Source organism: Homo sapiens, chromosome 6 (assembly GCF_000001405.40).
Source record: "Homo sapiens chromosome 6, GRCh38.p14 Primary Assembly".
Taxonomy (NCBI): Eukaryota; Metazoa; Chordata; class Mammalia; order Primates; family Hominidae; genus Homo; species Homo sapiens.
In genome coordinates this window covers 24,820,898-24,842,414 of record NC_000006.12, presented here as the reverse complement: position 1 = coordinate 24,842,414, position 21,517 = coordinate 24,820,898, and the positions used below count along the sequence as shown (strand labels likewise).

General features: G+C 42.8%; 1 protein-coding gene across 16 annotated transcripts in view, besides 3 other annotated features; it reads left to right on the top strand.

Annotated features, from left to right (window-relative positions):
* Nucleotides 1-21,517, top strand: part of RIPOR2 (RHO family interacting cell polarization regulator 2) — a 237,885-nt gene that overhangs the window by 199,754 nt on the left and 16,614 nt on the right. For 7 of the 16 annotated variants that reach the window (XM_006715275.3, XM_011515012.2, NM_001286445.3 and 4 more), the window contains 6 exons: nt 3,143-3,324; nt 6,544-6,712; nt 10,024-10,159; nt 11,745-11,906; nt 14,120-14,278; nt 16,987-17,189. In XM_006715275.3, coding sequence (XP_006715338.1) covers nt 3,143-3,324; nt 6,544-6,712; nt 10,024-10,159; nt 11,745-11,906; nt 14,120-14,278; nt 16,987-17,189 — 1,011 coding nt within the window. Of the gene's footprint in view, nt 1-1,639; nt 3,072-3,142; nt 3,325-6,543; nt 6,713-10,023; nt 10,160-11,744; nt 11,907-14,119; nt 14,279-16,986; nt 17,190-21,517 lie in introns of those variants that run through there. The other 9 variants (NM_001286446.3, XM_017011524.2, XM_047419593.1 and 6 more) reach the window with 4 other exon arrangements.
* Nucleotides 14,473-14,972: an enhancer, noted in NCBI's record as "H3K27ac hESC enhancer chr6:24827671-24828170 (GRCh37/hg19 assembly coordinates)". NCBI's record gives its function as "activates a minimal SCP1, AML or CMV promoter by ChIP-STARR-seq in naive H9 embryonic stem cells {active_cell/tissue: H9 hESC(naive)}" and the evidence as "EXISTENCE:reporter gene assay evidence [ECO:0000049][PMID:30033119]".
* Nucleotides 14,973-15,474: an enhancer, noted in NCBI's record as "H3K27ac hESC enhancer chr6:24827169-24827670 (GRCh37/hg19 assembly coordinates)". NCBI's record gives its function as "activates a minimal SCP1, AML or CMV promoter by ChIP-STARR-seq in naive H9 embryonic stem cells {active_cell/tissue: H9 hESC(naive)}" and the evidence as "EXISTENCE:reporter gene assay evidence [ECO:0000049][PMID:30033119]".
* Nucleotides 21,373-21,501: a silencer, noted in NCBI's record as "fragment chr6:24821142-24821270 (GRCh37/hg19 assembly coordinates)". NCBI's record gives its function as "represses an EF-1alpha promoter that drives an FKBP-Casp9 reporter gene in an ReSE screen in phorbol 12-myristate 13-acetate-treated (for megakaryocytic differentiation) K562 erythroleukemia cells {active_cell/tissue: K562(+PMA)}" and the evidence as "EXISTENCE:reporter gene assay evidence [ECO:0000049][PMID:32094911]".

The following is a 21,517-nucleotide window of genomic DNA, read 5'->3' as shown; positions in this document are numbered from 1 at the left end:
ACAATTGGTCCAAATAACCAAGTCAGAATCTCAGATTAATCATCAGCAAAATAATCATCCATTCTACTCTAGAGCGGGAGATCTACAGACTCTCCAGGGATACCCTCAATCCATAGGGATCAGACAGCCCAGGATGGAGGTGGGAGGGTAAGATGAGAAGGATGATTTCCTCGCAGGCGGGAGGTCCTGATAATGAGATCATTATTGCTGCATCAGAATGTATCTGTCTCCACCTGCATACAGATTAATTTTTTAAAAAACACTGCACAAGAAGACAGATTTGAATTGTTGTCCCAAATCTCACTGCTACTTCTTGTATTCTTTGCTGCTCTGATTTATATTGTCATATAAAAGAAAAGAGAACTCAGATCCTTTTTCTTAAAAGAGCAGTTCTTTGGGGACCTGGTCTGTAAAAAGGCTTGAAAGTAAGGTTGCAGGGGCAAGCCGAGAACCAACCCACAGAAAGCTGTTGCATCCCTTTCTAAGACTGTTTTCCTGGCTGGGCATGGTGGCTCACACCTGTAATCCCAGCATGTTGGAAGGCCAAGGCGGGCAGATGACTTGAGCCCAGGAGTTAGAGACCAGACCGGGCAACATGATGAAATCCCATCTCTACAAAAAATACAAAAATTAGCTGGGCATGGTGGCACACACCTGTAGTCCCAACTACTAGGGAGGCTGAGGTGGAAGAATCGCTTGAGCCAAGGAGGCAGAGGTTGTAGTGAGCCGAGATCACGTCACTGCACTCCAGCCTGGGTGAAAAAGTGAGACCCTGTCTCAAAAAAAAAAAAAAAAAATATGGTGATTGTTTTTATATGTAGCCTGCCCAGTGGCATCTGAAACTACATTTCCAAGGCTTTTTGACCATCTTATCCTTCTCTACTCAGTCTTGCTGACCTAACTCTGTAGGAGATTTGTGCCCCAGGCAGATGATAATTCAGGTCCTGACTCTCCAGGTCCTCAAATGCTCATGACAGATAGTTCAGTTGATGGCATAGCCTCCGAGAAACAGAAGGGCACTCTGAATCTACTTTCTGTAAAATATCAGTTCAAAACCATCAGCTCAGGGCTTGTATATGCAGGCTGCTTGTCTGGTATTCTACTAAACACCTATCTTTTCTGCAAAGTTGACCAGCTTTGCTTTGTGGGCAAAAGGTATTCATTTCAAAGAGCTAAGACACAAATTGATGCCATCTAAAGTGAATTCCTTAGAGAAATCCAGTAGTGATAGCAGCTCCCATTCCAGGCATCTAGGGTGATGGTAAGTAGCTCAATCCACAGGAAACACTAAGCATTATTAAAAACTGGTGATCAGAGACTTCTTTCCAGAGTATTATTTCAGTCTGCTGTTGTTCCAAAATTGTCCTGCTACTAAAATCCTCAACTGCCCCTTTCTTTGTCATGACCAATATTTAAACACATCTGTACTGTACAAGATAAAATTGTGCAGACACCTTGCTTAGGAAAAAAGACCCTAGAAGTAGGTGAAGTCAAGACCGACTCCCTGTCTCCCCCTGAGACTGCTGAAAACATCACTAGTGAGTGTGTTTAGGTCTGGGGCAAATGGCTTTGTATCCAGCCAGAATTAAAGCATCAGCTGGACAAAGCTTTCTCTTTTCTCCCTCCTTCACATTCCTAGGATGCTAAACACCTTGACGATCAGAAACTAAATGGTGCTGCCTCTTGGACGGAGATCACTGAGGGTGAATGAGACAACTGTGATTTAAAAGACCGAAAGACGTTTTCCCATGTGCTTTTGTGCCATCTTGAGTGTCAGAGACAGATCCCTGCAAGGCCCTTCCTACCTTGCGCTAAGAAATCAGCAAGGAGTGTCACCTAACTGGATGGAGGACATTTAGTGCTTCTAACTTGCAGAATTTGTCCCATTCGACCCACCCCAGCATCCTCTTGAATATTTGGAAATACTTCTCTCCAACTCTGTGCCCATAGCAACTGGCATTGTTTTGCTTGTAATGTTTCTGCATGTGGCCAGCATTATAGAATGCTCCAGGCCAGAGAATGGGATTGCTCCCATGATGCCAGGGCCTGGTCAGGGAAGTGGTGGGACTTGTTCCCTTTGAGGCAGAGCTCCAGAGGAAGCAGGGCTGCTTCTTGTCATGCCCAAGGCATTCATTCTTTCCTCAGTCCTCAGAGGAAAAATTATATGCTGTGAGCAGGTGCGGTGGCTCATGCCTGTAATCCCAACACTTTGGGAAGCCCAGGATTGCTGGAGCCCAAGAGTTCAAGACCGGTATGGTCAACATAGGGAGACCCTGTCTCTGCAATAAAAGAAAAAAATTAGCCTGGTGTGGTGGCACATGCCTGTGGTCTCAGCTACCTGGGAGGCTAAGGTGAGAGGATTGCTTAAGCCCGGGAGATTGAGGCTGCAGTGAGCTGTGATCACACCACTGCACTCCAGCCTGAGTGACAGAGCAAGACCTTGTCTCAAAAAAAAAAAAAAAAAAAAAAAAAAAAAAAAGATGCAGGGCTTCTTACCTAGGGAACATGGGCTAGGTGAATTTGAACCACTTCCTGTTTCTGGGATTTGTTTTGTTAGTCCTTTAGAGCAGATGCCTTAGATAGCTAGCGCCTTTTGTAAAACACCGAAGACATTGCCACTTGGAATTAGAGATTGGTCAGTATTCAGCATTGACTCACTGACTTAAAATTTGTCTGCTTGTGGTATTTTATTTTGGGGTGAGCACTAGGCAGAGGGATATAGCAGTTCTGTTTCCCAAGGCTTTGTGGTTGACATGGTTTTGTTTTTTGTTTTTTTTGTTTTTTTTCAACTTTTTGTTATAAAAATTTCAAACAGAAGTAGAGAAGATCCTCTAATGGATCCCAGTGTGCCCATCCCTCAACCTCCTCAGTGATCAACTCATGGCCAATCTTGTTTCCTATTCTTCAACCTGCTGACTTCCCTCTGGATTCTTCTGCAACCAGTCCCAGATATTGTGCCATTTTATCCATGGTTGTACTTCTTTTTTGGATATAAAGATTTTTAAATGCATTTTTTAAATGCTAACAAAAAATAAAAACTTGAAACAAAAAAAAAAGTGTGGCATCTCCAATTGAGCATCGTGTGTCTGGTTTCTCTTTCCGGATATGTTGATGTTCTCCCTGGTGCCTTCTGCCTTTACAGTGCAAGCCAGCAGTAAGCCGCAGCAGGTCTTCCAGTTTAAGTCTCACAGTTGAAAGTGCTTTAGAAAGCTTTGATTTCCTGAACACCTCTGATTTTGACGAGGAGGAGGATGGTGATGAGGTTTGTAATGTTGGCGGAGGTGCTGACTCAGTATTTTCAGACACTGAGACTGAGAAACACAGGTAAGTCTGAAGTTAGTGTCTCCTTATATTTCTCCTGTCACAGCTGATACAGTAGTTCTTTGTTACTGTCAGAGGGGACCTGGTACACATTTCCAGGAAGATAAAACTCTCCACATGAGTGACCAGTTGGCTTACAGTTCCTTTTTATTGTCAAGTGCAATAAAAGGGTCAATATTATTCACCTCTTTTGGGTTGCTTAAGGGAAAATAAATATCTTTATATTTCCTCTTTATAAATAGAGAGGAAAATTTTGTATGAGAGTGTTTTATACAAGTACATGTGTACACATTTTTTTTTAAGACGTAGTCTTGCTCTGTCACCCAGGCTGGAGTGCAGTGGTGCGATCTCAGCTCACCACAACCTCCACCTCCCAGGTTCAAGCGATTCTCCTGCCTCAGCTTCCGGAGTAGCTGGGACTACAGGCACCCGCCACCACACCTGGCTAATTTTTGTATTTTTTTAGTAGAGACGGGGTTTCACCATGTTGGCCAAGCTGGTCTTGAACTCCTGACCTCAGGTGATCCACCCGCCTCAGCCTCCCAAAGTGCTGGGATTGCAGGTGTGAGCCACTATGCCCAGCCCTCACATGTGTCTTATAGGGTTCAGTGTCTACAACTTGACCCCATGTAATTAATTCCAAATTAACTAGGTATACACATTTCTGAAGAACTCTTACTGGATGACAAATTTGGGCCTGGTTCTCCCTGGCTTGCACTTTACTTCCACTGCCTTTGTTTTGTTGTGCTTCCCTTTCCCAACCCTTCATGTTTCCTTCAACCCAGTGAGTCTTTGCCAGAGATTGAGTTCATCAAGGCACGCATCCAAGTCAAGTTTAAGTCCCATGGTGCATATTTCTTGTAGAATGTAAGAGGGGATGACCAATGACTGCCACTGGTACTGCATGTCTCTAGGTGGAGAATGTGACCTTCTCTGGAAGCAACAGATGAAGGTGAAACATTGTCACCTTCACCGTCCGGTGTCCTCATGCAGCCAAATCATGTTTTGAGAACTAGAGCCTGGGGTCCAAATTTATAACTACATATAAAGCAAAATAAGCACAATGGAACATACCCACCTCCATCAATTGCTGTGAAAGAAAACACACTTTCCCAAAATGGGGGTGGATTGCCCGCTCATCTTTACCTTGGCACAATATGACGTAAATGGGTTTTCAAGTTACAGCAAGCTATGATTTCAACCTTCACAAATCTCCCTGAAAGATGCTAGTTTTTGTTTGTTGTTGTCCCTGAAGGGTTTCCTTTTTCAAAATAAAACCAGGAAAAAAAAAAACATGAGAACTTGAATTTACCCCATAAGCAATCTGGGGACATGGCAAAGAAAATTTATTAAATGAATGTAATGTTTAAATTATCCTACATTTGGCCAGGCATGATGGCTCATGCCTATAATCCCAGCACTTTGGGAAGCCAAGGCCAGAGGACTGCTTGAACTCAGTAGTTCAAGACCAGCCTGGGAAACATGGCAAAATGCCATCTCTACTAAAAATACAAAAGTTAGTTGGGTGTGGTGGTGCACACCTGTAGTCCCAGCTATGCGGGAGGCTGAGGTGGGAGGATTGCTTGAACCCAGGATGTCAAGGTGAGCTGAGATTGTACCACAGCACTCCAGCCTGGGCAACAGAGCGAGACCTTCTCTCAAATAAATAAATAAGGCCGGGAGTGGTGGCTCACTCCTGTAATCCCAGCACTTTGGGAAGCTGGAGGGTGAATCACTTGAGGTCAGAGTTCGAGACCAGCCTGATCAACATGGTGAAACCCCGTCTCTACTAAAAATACAAAAATTAGCCAGGCATGGTGGTGTACGCCTGTAGTCCTAGTTACTCAGGAGGCTGAGGTGGGAGAATGGCTTGAACCTGGGAGGTGGAGGTTGCAGTGAGTTGAGATCGAGCCACTGCACTCCAACCTGGGTGGCAGTGCGAGACTCCGTCTCAAAAAAAATAATAAAAATAAATTGTTCTGCCTTAATATTTTTTAGCTTGATAGAATTTGTGAAATACTTCTTATCCAAAAATTTTTCTGCATACTTGTTACCTTAAGCTGTTACAGGATGTAGCAAAGTCAGGCATCAATCTAAACTTTTTTTCTTCTTGCTATAAGAAACATTTTAACAAAAAAATATCACAAGCACAGGTTTTATAAATGTTATACATCATTGATATTAAATATGTCTAATTTGATCAATCTTATTATATGTCATCAGAAGTATTAGGGAAGAGAGAGAGACAGAGAGAGAGAGAGAGTGTGTGTGTGTGTGTGTGTGTATTTTAAATATGTATTGGCTGCTATGTGTGGACTGCCCAGACACAAACTGAGTGTTTTCCCCTTGGAGTCAAATGTGAATCAGAATCAGAATAAAGCATTCAAAGCCTCTAAGCTCTGGTGCTAATCTTTTTAAATTGTGGACACCAGAGAGTGTGAGGCTAGAAGCCCAAATCTTCCCTGTCCCGTCTAGCTGTGTGAACCAGGACACTCAAAATCTCTGCTAATCATGTGAAACAAGACCACTATTGCCACCCTCCCTAGTACGCAGGTTTAGTTTATGAATAAAATTAGATAATCAATGCAAGAGATTTTTTTAAATGTAGGTGCCTACCATGATATAACTTCATACAGTTCAACAAGGGGGTTTAAACAAAACGTCAGAGGCAGAACTAAGCGATTCCTCTGAATATTCAAACACCCTTTTTAACTTTTGTCCAGAGTAGAACATCATGTCTCTCTTCTTGGCAGCTTTCCTTTTTCCTTTTATTCAAGTAGCAGTTGATCTGAGGCCAGGAAAAAACCTTGGCAGATTATTTCTTAATGGTATTGCCTTTGGGAAACCACAAATATAGAGGACAATTTAATTCCAGAAAATTTGGCAGATCACCCTGTCAACAGAGCAGGAAAGTGCAACACATTCAAAATGAGGGCATGTTTCAAAGACTTCTGGGTGAAACTACTTCATAAGTGGTTCATTAGGCTTAAAAAGTAGAGAAAGAACTTTGAAAGCAATTTGTTTGCATGTCCTTTTAACACTAGGCAATTTGGTGACCAGGCTGAATTAAGTAATTTTTTAAAGGTGTCTCTATTTTTCAAGATAGGCAAGTGAAAGACTGTTTTCAGTGGGTGCTGTTGGGGCCCGATGCAAACCATGTGGACTTGACCTGTGGTTTGTGCACAGAAAAAGAATAGCTAATGTTTTGCCCACCTTCAATAGTTACAGGTCGGTTCACCCAGAAGCCAGGGGGCATCTCAGTGAAGCGCTCACTGAAGACACAGGAGTTGGGACCAGTGTGGCAGGAAGTCCTCTCCCACTGACCACAGGCAACGAGAGCCTGGACATCACCATCGTCAGGCACCTCCAGTACTGCACCCAACTCGTGCAGGTAGGATCAGCGATGAATTTGTGTTTGAGATGCCAGGTGATTTACATACCAGGAAGTGTGCTTTCATTTTTTAGTGTTGCCAGGGAAATGAGAATTCAGGAATAAGAGAACAGTCTTGCTGTGGTTTGAGCCAAGTCAAAAACTCTGATGGGCCTGCCCATCCCTCTACAACCTTGGGTTTTTCATCTTCGAACCTAACTCTCCAGACCTTCACAGTAGTAGGTGGCATATGGTTAGCTCTCACTTTTGACTCATTTGGTAGTACCTGAGAATAATGTGATTAAGGGGGTGGGGGGAAGCCATTTGTATTCCACCATCTGCAATGGAGTTTGAAAGCCAGTAGTGCTGAATATATATTAACATGAATGTCAAATGAATTAGTTTTTCACCACCTGGATAGCTAAAAGAAAGTGTTAAAGAATCTAACCACAGTCTCCTGGACCTTGAATAAGTAATTCTTATTAGCAATGCTAAGATATAATTCTCTAGGCCATCATCATCACCATTTAGCTCTCATTCTGGGACACCACAGAGCTAATTTTCCTTCTCATCTCAAGCTGTTTACCACTTAAGGTTTTTCAACAGTGGAGCAAAATGTTCTTAAATTCTTTTGTTGCAGGAAGGGTTTCAGCTGTCTTGAACAAAGCATTTTTCCTCAAGCATCTACTTAAGAGCTTTCTCCTTGCCTGGTTGCTTTTCTTCTAATATCATTCTTCTCCCAGCTTGCTTGGGTGTATGTGGAACAGGAAGAGAATGCAGAAGCTAATAAAATGGTTCCAGACCAGGCGCAGTGACTCAGGCCCATAGTCCCAGCACTTTGGGAGGTCAAAGCAGGAAGATTGTTTGAGCCCAGGAGTTTGAGACCAGCCTGGTCAACAGAGTGAAACCTCATCTCTACAAAAGATACAAAAATTAGTCAGGTGTGGTGGCACAGGCCTATGGTCCCAGCTACTCAGGAGGCGGAGGTGGGAGGATTGCTTGAGCCTAGGAGGCAGAGGTTGCAGTGAGCTGTGATGGCACCACTGCGCTCCAGCCTGGGTGACAATGGTTCTACTCCTTTCTGTGTCTCTCAGAGACCTGTCTCGATCACCTGGTAGGCATAGATGCAGAACGCAGACCTGTACTACCATGCTGAATTGTCTAAAGTATTTGGACTCTAAAACAAATAGGATTTTCAAACCCAGCACTTTGGGAGGCCAAGGCCTCATTAAAAAAAGAAAAGAAAAGAAAAAGTGTCAAGGGGATCAGCCAAGCAGGAAGGGTGCAGAAGGAGGAGGAATGGTAACCCAAGAGCACAGAACCTGTTGGAAGACAAGAGTCAGGGTGAGGAGCTAGGGGTCCCTCGGGAGCCCAGCAGAGGGGCAGTGTTGCCTCCTTGGTAACAGACATGTGATGAGATGTAGGAGAATATGCTTCTCCACCATAGATGAAGAGCATCAGAGAAGCCTCAGACAACTGTGTGCTGTGGGAGACTGGTTGGCAATTATAACTCCTGCCACTTGGTTAGCCAACACTTAGTTGAACTCTTCTGTTGAGTTTTGAGGTCAAAAACCACAAAGGTCTCACAAACCATGAGACTGATAACCAATCTGGTAGAATGTGCAGTTTTTTTTTTTTCTGATCAAAACAGACAGGGATTTTTATTTATGTATGACTATTTTCTACTCACCAACCATTTGAACGAGACAGCTCTTTGTCCTTGCTGAGCCTGATACTATGCCAAGCAAACCACTTGTTTCTCTTTTAGAGAATAATAGCTATTTTGTGAGACATAAGAGAATTCTTATCTTTGAAGGAGTGACTGTTTTCTCGCAAAGACTAATTGGCATGCTTTTAGTGCAAGCAGTCAATGCAGTGTTTCTCTCGGTAATAAGGCCATGATTATAACAATTCATCCTTTCTGTGGGGATGAGCAATGGTACAAAAACAGAAGAGGTGGATACAAAGATGTAGATTGAAGGAATGAGATTTAGAAACTTACCTTCTGGCTTGCGTTGATTCATGTGTGAGCTTACTTATTAGTTATATAACCACAGAGAGATAAAGATGTGCATTTTCTAAGAATCATAATCACTACAATTATTTTCAAAATAAAGCAGTTCATTGCTATTGTATTTACTCACAGGAAGGGTGTTAGTACATAATTGCTGCACTAGACTTTGTTTTGTTTTTTTGTTGTTGTTGTTTTTGTTTTTGTTTTTTTTGAGACAATCTCACTCTGTCACCCAGGATGGAGTGCAGTGGCACAATCTTGGCTCACTGCAGCCTCCGCCTCCAGGGTTCAAGCGACTCTCCTGCCTCAGCCTCCTGAGTAGCTTAGACTACAGGCCTGCACCACCACGCCTGGCTAATTTTTGTATATTTAGTAGAGATGGGGTTTCGTCATGTTGGCCAGGATGGTCTCAATCTCCTGACCTCGTGATCTGCCTGCCTCAGCCTCCCAAAGTGCTGGGTTTGAAAATCCTATTTGTTTTAGAGTCCCAATACTTTAAACAATTCAGCATAGTAGTACAGGTCTGTGTTCTGCATCTATGGCTACCAGGTGATTGAGACAGGTCTCTGAGACACAGAAAGGAGTAGAACCATTGGGCAGCAAATGACTTATATCCTTTCTTCTCTTAGGTCTTCTCATTCTTGTGAACTGCACACAAATAAACCCACTTACAACTTATGTGACCTTGGGCAGGTTACTTAACCTCTCTGTGCCTCAATTTTCTCATCAGTAAAATGGGGATATCAATAAGACCCGCCTCATTGGGTTGTTTTGAGAAATAACATAAGCTAACACTTATACAGAACTCAGACCAGTGCCTGGCACATAGTGAGCACTCATTTGTTATCAAGAGACAGCTCTGATTGTAATTCTCATTATTATTTAACCTGCTCTTAACTTTCAGCTTGAACACACACACAAAAATAAAACCATGCTGTGAAAAATTACTGCATTTGTAAGACAAATCTATTTCTGCTTACACACCAAGACACAGCCTAAACTGCCCCTCACGTTTCAAAGGGGAAGATCAGATTCACAATACATAAAAGGGAAAGCAGCTTTATAATAACCTTGTAGACCTACTACTGAGAAAGTTCCAGAATTTATGCACACACGAAGAAATGCAAAGCAACAAAAACATGCCTGATTTCATCAGATGTTGTAACTGGCATGGAATGAGGATCATTATCGAGCTGGAAGAAAAACATCGCATGAGTTTATTTAGTATCATCACCACATTCAGGAAGGATGAGGCTGGGTAGAGAAAGCTCTACTGAAAACAACATAATTGAAACAGGAGTTTTGTTTGTTTTACCAGCAAATTGTTTTCTCAAGCAAAACCCCATTTGTGGCAAGAAGTCTCTTAGAGAAGCTTTCTAGGCAGATCCAAGTGATGGAGAAACTCGCAGCTGTCAGTGATGAGAACATAGGAAATATCAGTTCTGTTGTGGAAGGTAAGTATCTGCCAGTTACACCGCTATTCACGTAAATGATGACACCACTAGCCCAGTCCACTCCCTATGCATGTTCATTGCTTTGTTGGAAAAACAGAAAAGCATTCTTAGGTCACAGGATTGAGAAAGGTCTCCAAACAAATTGGGCTCATTAATGTCACATTTCGGCTTTCTGAGTCAAAGCAGCAGACACACAGTTTTTTCCAGAGGGCCTCCACCCCCAGAAGTCAGACCCAGAAACAAAAACAGCATCCACTTCACAGGCAGAGTTTCACAGACTTTCTGCTGGTGCGGTTCCCTTTAGGGACAGATGACTATAGGATGCTCTTGCACCCTGGAGGTGGCTAAGACAACTCCTGTAGTGACTGTCAATTGGAAGATCCTGCCAGACCCTGCTGGGGAAAGGTACAAATACATGGATGCAAACGCCTCCAGGAGAGTTCCTGATTCTAAGAGTTTTAAATGAAGAATTTGACCTGGGAAAGATGCCTTTGAATTTGTGTGATCTGGCTATGGGGCACTTTTGTAGAAACCAAAATTTATGTCTGTTTTCATATCAGATATTCAGCAGAAACAGGGTCTTCCAGATAATCTCTGATTAAGCCTAAAACTTCCTCTATCTTCTCCCTGTGCATTTCTGCCTCCCACATCCATTCCCACTAGAAGTAGGTGACCTTGGCCGGTCTCTGAGGGGCATGAAGAGGGGCAGGACATTCAGGCTGTGAGTGACTTGTGTCCTCTCCTCTCCCAGCCCCCTCCTCATGATCATGACACATTCAAGTGAAACATTGTTCCTGTCCCACCTGGTACCATGCTGTTCAGTCATTTCAGTCAGGGAACCACCTGGGCAGGGTAAAAATTTCCTCCAGCCACCTGCTGCTACCTCCCATCCCCTTCAGGAAACTCTCCTCCAGTTTGAGTCCTTGATCCTGTATGATTTCTGCTGTGGAGTTATAGGAAATCACAAGTTTGGAATGCTGCCCAAGGGTAGAGCTCCTGTATTTCCTATCACTCACAGCAAACGAACTTGTTTTTGCTCTATTTTCTTTGCTCCCCAAGCAGGATGAGTTCCTCGTCATAACTTCTTTACCCTTCGGGCCATCTGCTGACCACACAGGAATCTGCTAGTTCCATCTGAAAACTAACCACAGTCTTATGGGGAGAAAAAAAGTCCCTAAAGACCCCCCACATACACACCCTTTCCCCAACACGTCTTCATCTGCTTCATTTAAAATGTTATGGCCAGGCGTGGTGGCTCACGCTTATAATCCCAGCACTTTGGGAGGCCGAAGTGGGTGGTTTGCTTGAGGACAGGAGTTCGAGACCAGCCTGACCAACATGGTAATACCTCATCTCTACTAAAAATACAAAAATTAGCCAGGTGTGGTGGTGCATGCTTGTAATCCCTGCTACTTGGGAAGCTCAGGCAAGAGAATCACTTGAACCCAGGAGGCGGAAGTTCCAGTGAGCTGAGATCATGCCATTGCACTCCAGCCTGGGTAACAAAGCAAGACTCTGTCTCAAAAAAATAAAATAAAATAAAATAAAATGTGTTACGAGATGGGGGGTTGCTCTTCTTTTCCAGCCATACCAGAATTTCACAAAAAGCTGTCTTTGCTGTCATTCTGGACCAAGTGCTGCAGCCCTGTTGGTGTCTACCACAGCCCAGCGGACAGAGTGATGAAGCAGCTGGAGGCCAGCTTTGCCAGAACTGTCAACAAAGAATATCCAGGACTTGCAGACCCAGGTATGAGGCAGCAGTAGAGAGAGAATTTCTGTCCTTCAGTGTGAGAGTGGGCATTGGGGTGGGGGTCGGGGGAGAGGGGTCCTCCTACCACTTGCCTGCAGATGGGAAACACACAAAAGGCCATCCCTGAAAAAAGAAGTGTACTGTCCAGGGAAAACATCATCTACTCAGATTTAAGAAAAGAAAGTGTTGAACTGTTTTAATTCAGAATATCAGCAGTGACATTTAAAGCTACTACATTTTGGCCAGGCGCAGTGGCTCACGTCAGTTATCCCAGCACTTTGGGAGACGGAGACAGGTGGATCACCTGAGGTCAGGAGTTCGAGACCAGCCTGGCCAACATGACAAAACTCCATCTCTACTAAAAATACAAAAATTAGCCGGGCGTGGTAGCCCACACCTGTAATCCCAGCTACTTGGGAGACTGAGGGAGGAGAATCGCTTGAACCTGGGAGGCAGAGGTTGCAGTGAGCTGAGATCACGCCACTGCATTCCAGCCCAGCTGACAGACTGAGACTCCATCTCAATAATAATAAAGCTACTACATTCTTATGTATTGTTATTTCTATGTGTATACTTCTTTCATTACAATTTCACCAGTACGAGAGTGTCAAATGGTATGATCACTTTGGAAAAACTGTTTGGCAGTTTCTACTAAAGCTCAATATACCCCCTACCGTTGGATCCAGCACATTCATTCCTAAATATGTAAAGACAGATAAAGTGCTATGTTCACAAGAAAGGACATTTATATGAAGGTTCCTACCAGCTTTACTCACAAGAGCCAAAAATTGGAAACAACCTAAATGCCCACAAGAGAATGGATAAATTGTAATATACTCATAGCATAGAGTATTACACAGCAATTTTTAAAAACAAAATACAGACAAGGTCTCACCCTGTCATCCAGGGGGAACGCAGTGATGTTTTAACAGCTCACTGCAGCCTCAATCTCCTGGGCTCAGGAGATTCTCCTGCCTCTTCCCCTTTTGTACTGGGACTGTAGATAGATGCCAACATGCCTGGCCAATTTTTGTACTTTTAGTAGAGACAGGGTTTCAGTCTCTTGCCCAGGCTGGTCTTGAACTCCTGGGCTCAAGCAATCCTCCCTTGGCCTCCCAAAGTGCCGGAATTACAGTTGTGAGCCACTACACTGGGCCAGCAATTTTTTTTAATTAATTAATTTATTTATTTTGAGATGGAGTCTCGCTCTGTTGCCCAGGCCGGAGTGCAATGGCGCGATCTCAGCTCACTGCAACCTTCGCCTCCCAGGTTCAAGCGATCCTCCTGCCTCAGCCCCACCCAGTAGCTGTGATTACAGGCACATGCCACCATGACCAGCTAATTTTTATATTTTTAGTAGAAACAGGGTTCCGCCATGTTGCCAGGCTGGTCTTGAACTCCTGACCTCAGGTGATTCACCTGCCTCAGCCTCCCAAAGTGCTGGGATTACAGGTGTCAGCCACTGTGTCTGGCCCTGGGCCAGCAATTTTTAAAAAGAACACATTGTTGCTATAATCAATAATTTGAATGATTCTCACAGATACTTTGTTGTGTAAAAGGAAAAAGACACCAAAAGTACATACTATATAATTCCATTTACATGAAGTTCAAGAACAGGTGAAACTAATTTATGTTGATAGAAGTCAGATTGTTAGTTGCCTATTTGTGCCCTTCCCTTTCTTTCTCTTCCCTTCATTCTTCCTTCCTTCTTTCCTTCCTTCCTTCTCTTTTCCTCTCTCACTTGTCTCTTCCTCCTCCTTTTTATCTCTCTCCTACACACACATATATAATATTTATTCATTATATATTTTATATATAAGGGAAGGGAAGGGTAGCTATAGACTGGGAAGGGGCACAAGAAAACCTTATGGAATGCAGGCCGTCTTCCATATCTTGATCTAAATGGCAGTTACACAGGTGTGCACATGTGCAAAACCATCCAGCTGCTTACTTTACTACTTCACTCTATCTTCAACCACAATAAAAGATAAACAACTTATTGAGCCAGGTGTGATGGCTCATGCCTGCAATTCCATCTACTTGGGAAACTGAGGCAGGAGGACTGCTTGAGCCCAGGAGTTTGAGACCAACCTGGGCAACAAAGTGAGACCCTGTCTCTAAAATAAAAATAAAAATAAAAATTATTGAATGAATGAATGAATGAATGGTCATCTATCTAAAGCTGCTTTGTGTCTTTCCCTTCCGAATAGTGTTTCGAACCCTGGTGTCCCAAATTCTGGACCGGGCTGAGCCTCTGCTTTCCTCCAGCCTGTCCTCGGAAGTCGTCACTGTTTTCCAGTATTACAGTTACTTCACCAGCCACGGCGTCAGTGACCTGGAGAGTTACCTGAGCCAGCTGGCCAGGCAAGGTGGGACATGTTCTTTTGTCACATTGTAGTGGTGGCTCAATTTGGCGTTATCTCTGCTCTTTTAAATCATGGCTTTTGGCAATGATGGCCTTTTATTTTTCAAGTCCACAGTAGAGGTGCAATTTGCCTTTTAAGTGACTTTTGGACTTTTAACATTAGTGAGCCCCTTGTTAATGAACCAGGGATTCACTAGGAGCAACTCAATCATCTGGCAGAGAGGTACCATTTACAGGAAGCTGGTAAATGATTTAAGCTTTCACTGTAATTTATTTCCTTCAGTAATGTATTTGCCATTAGTCGGATCAATCCTACAGGCAATACTATTTTATATTGCCCTTTTTGGTGAGGCTTTCATTAATAATAGGAAGAAATGGGGTTTCAAAGAAGGCAGGTAGGTAACATGGTGGGAAGGGAAAGGAGGAAAAGGTGGAAAACTAACTCCAGGGCTCCATGTCCAGGGTACAAGAACAGCTGCCAGTGCAGGCATGCAGCAATGAAGCTGGTTCTTGCCATTCCACACGGCCCTTCAGAGACTGGAAATAAAATAGCAATCTAAATCAAGTGAAAACTCCACTTTGGGAGTGGAGCCAGGTAGTGAGGGGCTGGTTTCTGGTTCCCAGGTTTGTGCTTTATAAATCCACAGAGCCTTGACCAATGCAGGTTAAAAGGGACAAGAGGAATGAGGTGTGTTCTTTGGAGCTAGGTGAGTCTGGCACGGCACCAGGCAGCAGCAACATGTCTGGCGCAAGCCCAGGCTTACCCCTTCTCTCTCCAGAACATCAAATCCTGCAACAACACAGTCAGCACATTGGGTGGCATCATAGTGAAGGAAGAAAAATCTTCCTTCACCCAGCACTGTACCAGCACGGAGCATGGGAGAGAGTCTGTGCATAACCCCTTACAAGGCAGACACCAGCACAGAGGACCAGGAAGAGAAAGCATGGGCAGAAAGACCTTGTTTTAGGACCACAAAGTCTTATTTTATAATATTATAGTCTTCATTTATTGATACTAAATTTGTCCCAATCTAAATCCATTTTCTGAGAAAATGTTTATATTACTCAGTTTGCATCAGTGGCAGTTTACATCTCTAGGCTCTTATTACACGGTCCCCAAGAAGGCCTACTCATTTACTAACAACAATGGGGAATGACAATGAAAAAAACCTTTAACATTTTAAGTGTCTTTTTTCTTTCATTATAAAAGGGAAAAGCCTTCATTATTAAAAAAAAAAATGTAAACAGAGAAGTATAAAGAAAGAAATTCCAATCTCTCCTCTTACTTTTTAAATTGAATGCATTTTTCAGTTGAATGTACATGGGTTTTACATTCCAAATTGTAATTATGCCTTATAGAGTATTGATCCTGTTTTTTATTTGATATTATGTTCTATCTTATTCTTTGAAAGCATTTGTATTAGATTATATTAGTTATGAGATTAATAGTTCCGCATTTGAATGTATACTAATGTATTTGATTATATTGTTGGGCATTTAGGCTATTTTCTGTGATTTGTTAATTTAGATGTTATAATCCATAATGCTTCCTTTCAGGCTTTTTACTAGGGTGTTTATTTACAAAGCAGTGAAATTGATAGAGCATTCACAGCAAGGAAAATAGGAAATTAAGCAAAAAAAAAAAATCTAAATAAATCACAAATTTGTCTACTGTGTAGAGAATGTTGCTTTATTCATGGAGCATGAATTTTGGCTTTTATTTTTCCATTTGTACTGACCAGACATATTCTCATCCCAGTGTTTTTGTGACTAATGGTTGATCATGCTGGATTTCTGGTTAGGGAGTAGAGTATACTCTTTATTCATGGAACATGGTTAATTTGTCCAAATGGGACTCAAAACCTTATTTTTTAATATTGTCTTCCTATTCCAACCAACAAAATGGGTTGCTCTGGCCAGGCAAGGTGGCTTACACCTGTAATCCTAGCACTTTGGGAGTCCAAGGCGGGTGGATCACTTGAGGTCGGGAGTTTGAGACCAGCCTGGCCAACATGGTGAAACCCCATCTCTACTAAAAATACAACAATTAGCCAGGCGTGGTGGCATGCGCCTATAATCCCAGCTACTTGGGAGGCTGAGGCAGGAGAATCACTTGAACCTAGGAGGTGGAGGTTGCAGTGAACCGAGATCACACCATTTGCACTCCAGCCTGGACAACAAGAAAGAGACTCTGTCTCAAAAAAAAAAAAAAAAAGAGAAAAACATTAAATAAATAAATAAATAGATAGATAGGTTGCTCCATCGGGGCCCAGTTGCCTCAGTGCAGACTTGGTTTTTGCACTGGGTTCACCCAGGATTGGGGTTTTGCCAGACAGGTTTGACTAAAAGAGGAGCAATTAAGTCTGCCATACATATATTAGGAAGATTGTAAAAAATGTCTAATTGTATTTTCTTCTGTATATTTTTACCTTGGGCTAATTCACCTGTAAGTTATTTTTGTAGCCATTATGAGATAGAAACCCACCTTCACTTTTTCCCATGTGTTTTGCCCATCACTATAATGTAGTTATTTGCATAGTCTGTCCTTTTCTCACCAATCTGAAATACCATCTTTATCAGATGCTAATTTTTCATATGTATTGGAGTTACTATACTATACTTTCTTATGTACTTGAGTTCTATTTATATTTGTAATGAGCTGATTACTTTAGCATGTCAGAACATGAAATCTCCTTCCTTCTTACCCTCCAGTTTCCATGGTTCAGACTCTGCAATCACTAAGAGATGAAAAACTGCTACAAACCATGAGTGACCTTGCTCCCAGCAACCTCCTGGCCCAGCAGGAAGTACTCAGGACTCTGGCTCTGCTATTAACCAGAGAGGACAACGAAGTTAGTGAGGCTGTGACGCTTTACTTGGCAGCAGCCTCCAAAAATCAGCATTTCAGGGAAAAGGTAAGACACTAAACCATGGCCATCAAGCCAGAAGCTGGTTTAATTTCCTATCATTTACTACTAATATTTTAGCATTTATTCCTTTATAAAAATAATTTTTCTGCGTATTAATAATGTGTGCTCCATAAAGCAATCAAAACTAAAGAAATATAGATAAGTACCCCTTAAGTCCAGCCCCCAGAGAAAACTATTAATAACATACTGCCTCTTCTTTCAGATTGTATCTATATATATGCTAACATACATAATTTTTAAAATGAGATCACACTATCCTATTTCATAATGGATTTTTAAATGTAATATATCATGGTTATTTTCTTTCCTCGATAGAACATATTGATCTACTTCATTATATTTATGGATGAATGGCATGTCCATGTATGAATATCCTAGAATTTATTTTCTTACTGTGTATTGGTGGGCATTTGTATAGTGTCCAACTCTAAAAATATTATGGTGAACATATGTGTGTGTATATGTGTGTGCACACAGGCATGTCTTATGAGCAGTTTGGGGTCAAGTAATCTAACTATTGGCTGAAAGAGCTGGAATATTTTTAATTTTAAAAGCCATCACTCTTACTTCCAGGGAAGAGGTAATTTATCTCTCCCTCAGCTTTAATTCAATAGCCATCCAGATGGAACAGGAATCTGTAGTTTAAGTACATTGGCTCATACAAGAGGAATTGGTCCCCTGGGAGCCCTTTACAATTTATACTGTCATTCTAAAAACTAACTCTCATCAAAATCCAGATCAGCTCAAGAAAGTTAAACATGGCCTCTCCTTGTCCTTGAAAAGGTCCCATGTTGAACTCCGTTTGTTTAACTTGTCTAAGGCACTGCCTAAGCTAATATGTAATGGAACGTTTGTGTACTCACAAGAAAATAATCCACTCTAACGCCATTTTGGTCCAAAAGGGTGAACTCTATGTAGTTCTTTGCTACACAGTTATGATCTTTCAGTGGAATTAGCTCAAAAAGCTGTTCTGTGGGCTGACCACTCTCACCTCCTACCAAAAAGAGAGAAGGAAAATTAAAGAATCGTGAACATGCTGGTAGCAGGATATATACGCATCTGAGTGTGCAGTTTATGGGGAGCAGGTCTGTGATACTCTTTAGTCACACTGAGGGGCCAGTGTTCGAAATGTGCCCTTAGAAATAGCAACAGGGGCCCAGGCGCGGTGGCTCACACCTGTAATCCCAACACTTTGGGAGGCCGAGGTGGGTGGATCACCTGAGGTCAGGAGTTTGAGACCAGCCTGGCCAACATGGGGAAACCCTGTCTCTACTAAAAATACAAAAATTAGCCAGGCCTAGTGGCACATGCTTGTAATCCCAGCTACTCAGGAGGCTGAGGCAGGAGAATGACTTGAACCCAGGAGGTGGAGGCTGCAGTGAGCCGAGATTGCGCCACTGGACTCCAGCTGGGTGACAGAGCGAGACTCCATCTCAGAAAATAAAAAAATAAAAAAGAAATAACAACAGGTAAGACATAGCCTTCCTTTGGCTATTCTATATGCATCTTTTACTTTTAGGGCATTAGCCACAGGTGAAATATTCTCTTGTTATTCCAATTCAGCTCTCATGTTTATTCCCTCAAATTCATATTTCATGACTAAACCTTCATTATGTGACTACTGTGTCCCTGGTATTATATGGAGGGTTTTGTGGACACTGTAGAAATAAAGGAAAAGCAGTCCTTACCCTTGAAGAGTTTCCAGTAGTCAGAAAAACAAGAAATAATACCTGTCAAGTACTGTGTACTTCCTAAACACCAGGCACCGTGCAGCATCACTTAGCTGTCTTATCTCTAACAAGGTCGATGCTATGATCCCACTTTATGGATTAGGAAACTGAGCCTCCAAGGAGTTAAACTTGACTAAGACTAGTTAAGTAACAGAATTTGGATTACTACCTAGAAATGTTTGACTCCCAAAGCCTGAACCCTTTCCATATTTTCTTATATGGAATAGCAAAAGTTATTACATTAAGTTCTTAAAACTAGATGCAAAGCACTAAAGCAACACAAAAATGCCTCTGTGAGAGCTGGTGTCACTGTAAACCCGGAACCTTGCTTCAAGGATCATAGCTATTGAGACAAAATAAAAGTTGTGTGTGTTGGTTCATTATTTTATGCTTTTCCCCACACCTAGACAAGTAGGAAATATCCACTGTCCTCCAACTATACTGTTGCATTCAGATGTGGTTGCTTCTTTAATTATCCAGGACTGGTCAGAGGAGATGCTGGTGGCCTCTGCATGGTGACAGGGGCTTCTGGCTTTATAATGTGCCTTCTGTTTGCTTCCTGGAATTGTTATGAATCTAAGCAGCCACCAATTCTTAGGCAACCACTCAAACTAAAGTGAGCAACCTTATGACTCAACAGGCATTTAACAATAAATAAATAGGCCGGGCGCAGTGGCTCACGCCTGTAATCCCAACACTTTGGGAAGCCGAGGCGGGTGGATCACCTGAGGCCAGGACTTCGAGACCAGCCTGGCCAATATAGTGAAACTCCATCTCTACTAAAAATACAAAAAATTAGCTGGGCGTGGTGGTGGGCACCTGTAGTCCCAGCTACTCGGGAGGCTGAGGCAGGAGAATTGCTTGAACTCAGGAGGCGAAGGTTGCAGTGACCTGAGATCGCACCATTGCACTCCAGCCTGGGTGACAAGAGCAAGAACTCTGTCTCAAAAAATAAATAAATAAATAAAAATAAATAAATACGTAAAGTGAGCAACCTATTCAGTAACCCCAAAATTAACAGGGTCAGCTATCATCTCTGAAGTTAACATAGACAGGTTTGCCCTATCACCTAGCATGTTAGCTTGGCACCTAACAAGTACCTAGTCATCTCTTCATGGGACAAGTGAATTGATATTTTCAGATATATTTACACACATGGTTACAATATTTGTGTTCCTGAAATGAGGGAGACAAATATTTCCACCAACATAATCAAACTAAATGAATTATGACTCAGCATTTTGCACAGACACCATCGATTGGTTTCTGACCTCCAGGGCCAGCCCTTGTTAAAATTATAAAGTAGATGAACTTCAGCACAAGACTCCTCTCTATTTTCCCCTGCCCATTTCTCTGTCTCTCAGGTTTGTTTTGGATTTTAATGGCGGGATCCTACTTTGTTACACAAGCTGGACATGCACCACCCAGGTGGTGCAATCATAGCTCACTACAGCCTTGAACTCCTGCCATTTCCCTCTTTTACTCATATCAAGGGACTTGAAGGCTAACTATCAAACCATAGGTTTACCCCTTACCAAAACCACATATTCCAAGACTTAAATGGGTGATCACAACTTAAATTGTCCTTCCTCTCGGGCATGTTTGCATTATAACAATGCTTCAATAGGGATGAAATGCTAAAGATGACCTTGGTGTATATCCACCTCTGGAAATGGTAGCTTTGGAGGGGGTTGATGGCAAGTGGCACTTCAGGGACAGTCACCTTGTTCCTTTTGTACTGGAGGCTAGTCCCTGTGTAGCTGCCCACTTGTGGATTGAGGCTTATTTCCTCCCCTTTTGGCTGCTCACCCTCAAGTGAGTAGAGGCCAAAAGGCAAGCCAGAGAGAGGTTTTCAAAAGCCAAAGCCCAGGCTCTAACTATTTAGGTCTAGTAAAGAGCTAGTTACTGTTACTGCTTTTGTTCTTGCTGTAATAACCTATACTGCATATCTTTGTTTCCTTTAAGAGTGTTAAAACTTTAAGAGTGTTAAGCCACAGAGCTGGGCACTGTGGCTCACGCCTGTAATCCCAGCACTTTGGGAGGCCGAGGCGGGCGCATCACCTGAGGTCGGGAGTTTGAGACCAGCCTGACCAACATGGAGAAACCCCATCTCTACTAAAAATACAAAAAATTAGCTGGGCATGGTGGAGCATGCCTGTAATCCCAGCTACTTGGGAGGCTGAGGCAGGAGAATCGCTTGAACCCGGGAGGCAGAGGTTGCAGTGAGCCGAGATTGCACCATTGCACTCCAGCCTGGGCAACAAGAGCAACACTCCATCTCAAAAAAAAAAAAAAACAGTGTTAAACTGGCTGGGCGCGGTGGCTCACGCCTGTAATCCCAGAACTTTGGGAGGCTGAGGAGGGCAGATCATCTGAGGTCAGGAGTTCAAGACCAGCCTGGCCAACATAGTGAAACCCCATCCGTACTAAAAATACAAAAATTAGCCGGGTGTGGTGGCAGGCACCTATAATCCCAGCTACTCAGGAGGCTAAGGTGGGCGTATGGCTTGAACCCAGGAGGCGGAGTTTGCAGTGAGCTGAGATGGTGCCACTGTACTCCAGCCTGGGTTACCAAGAGAGACT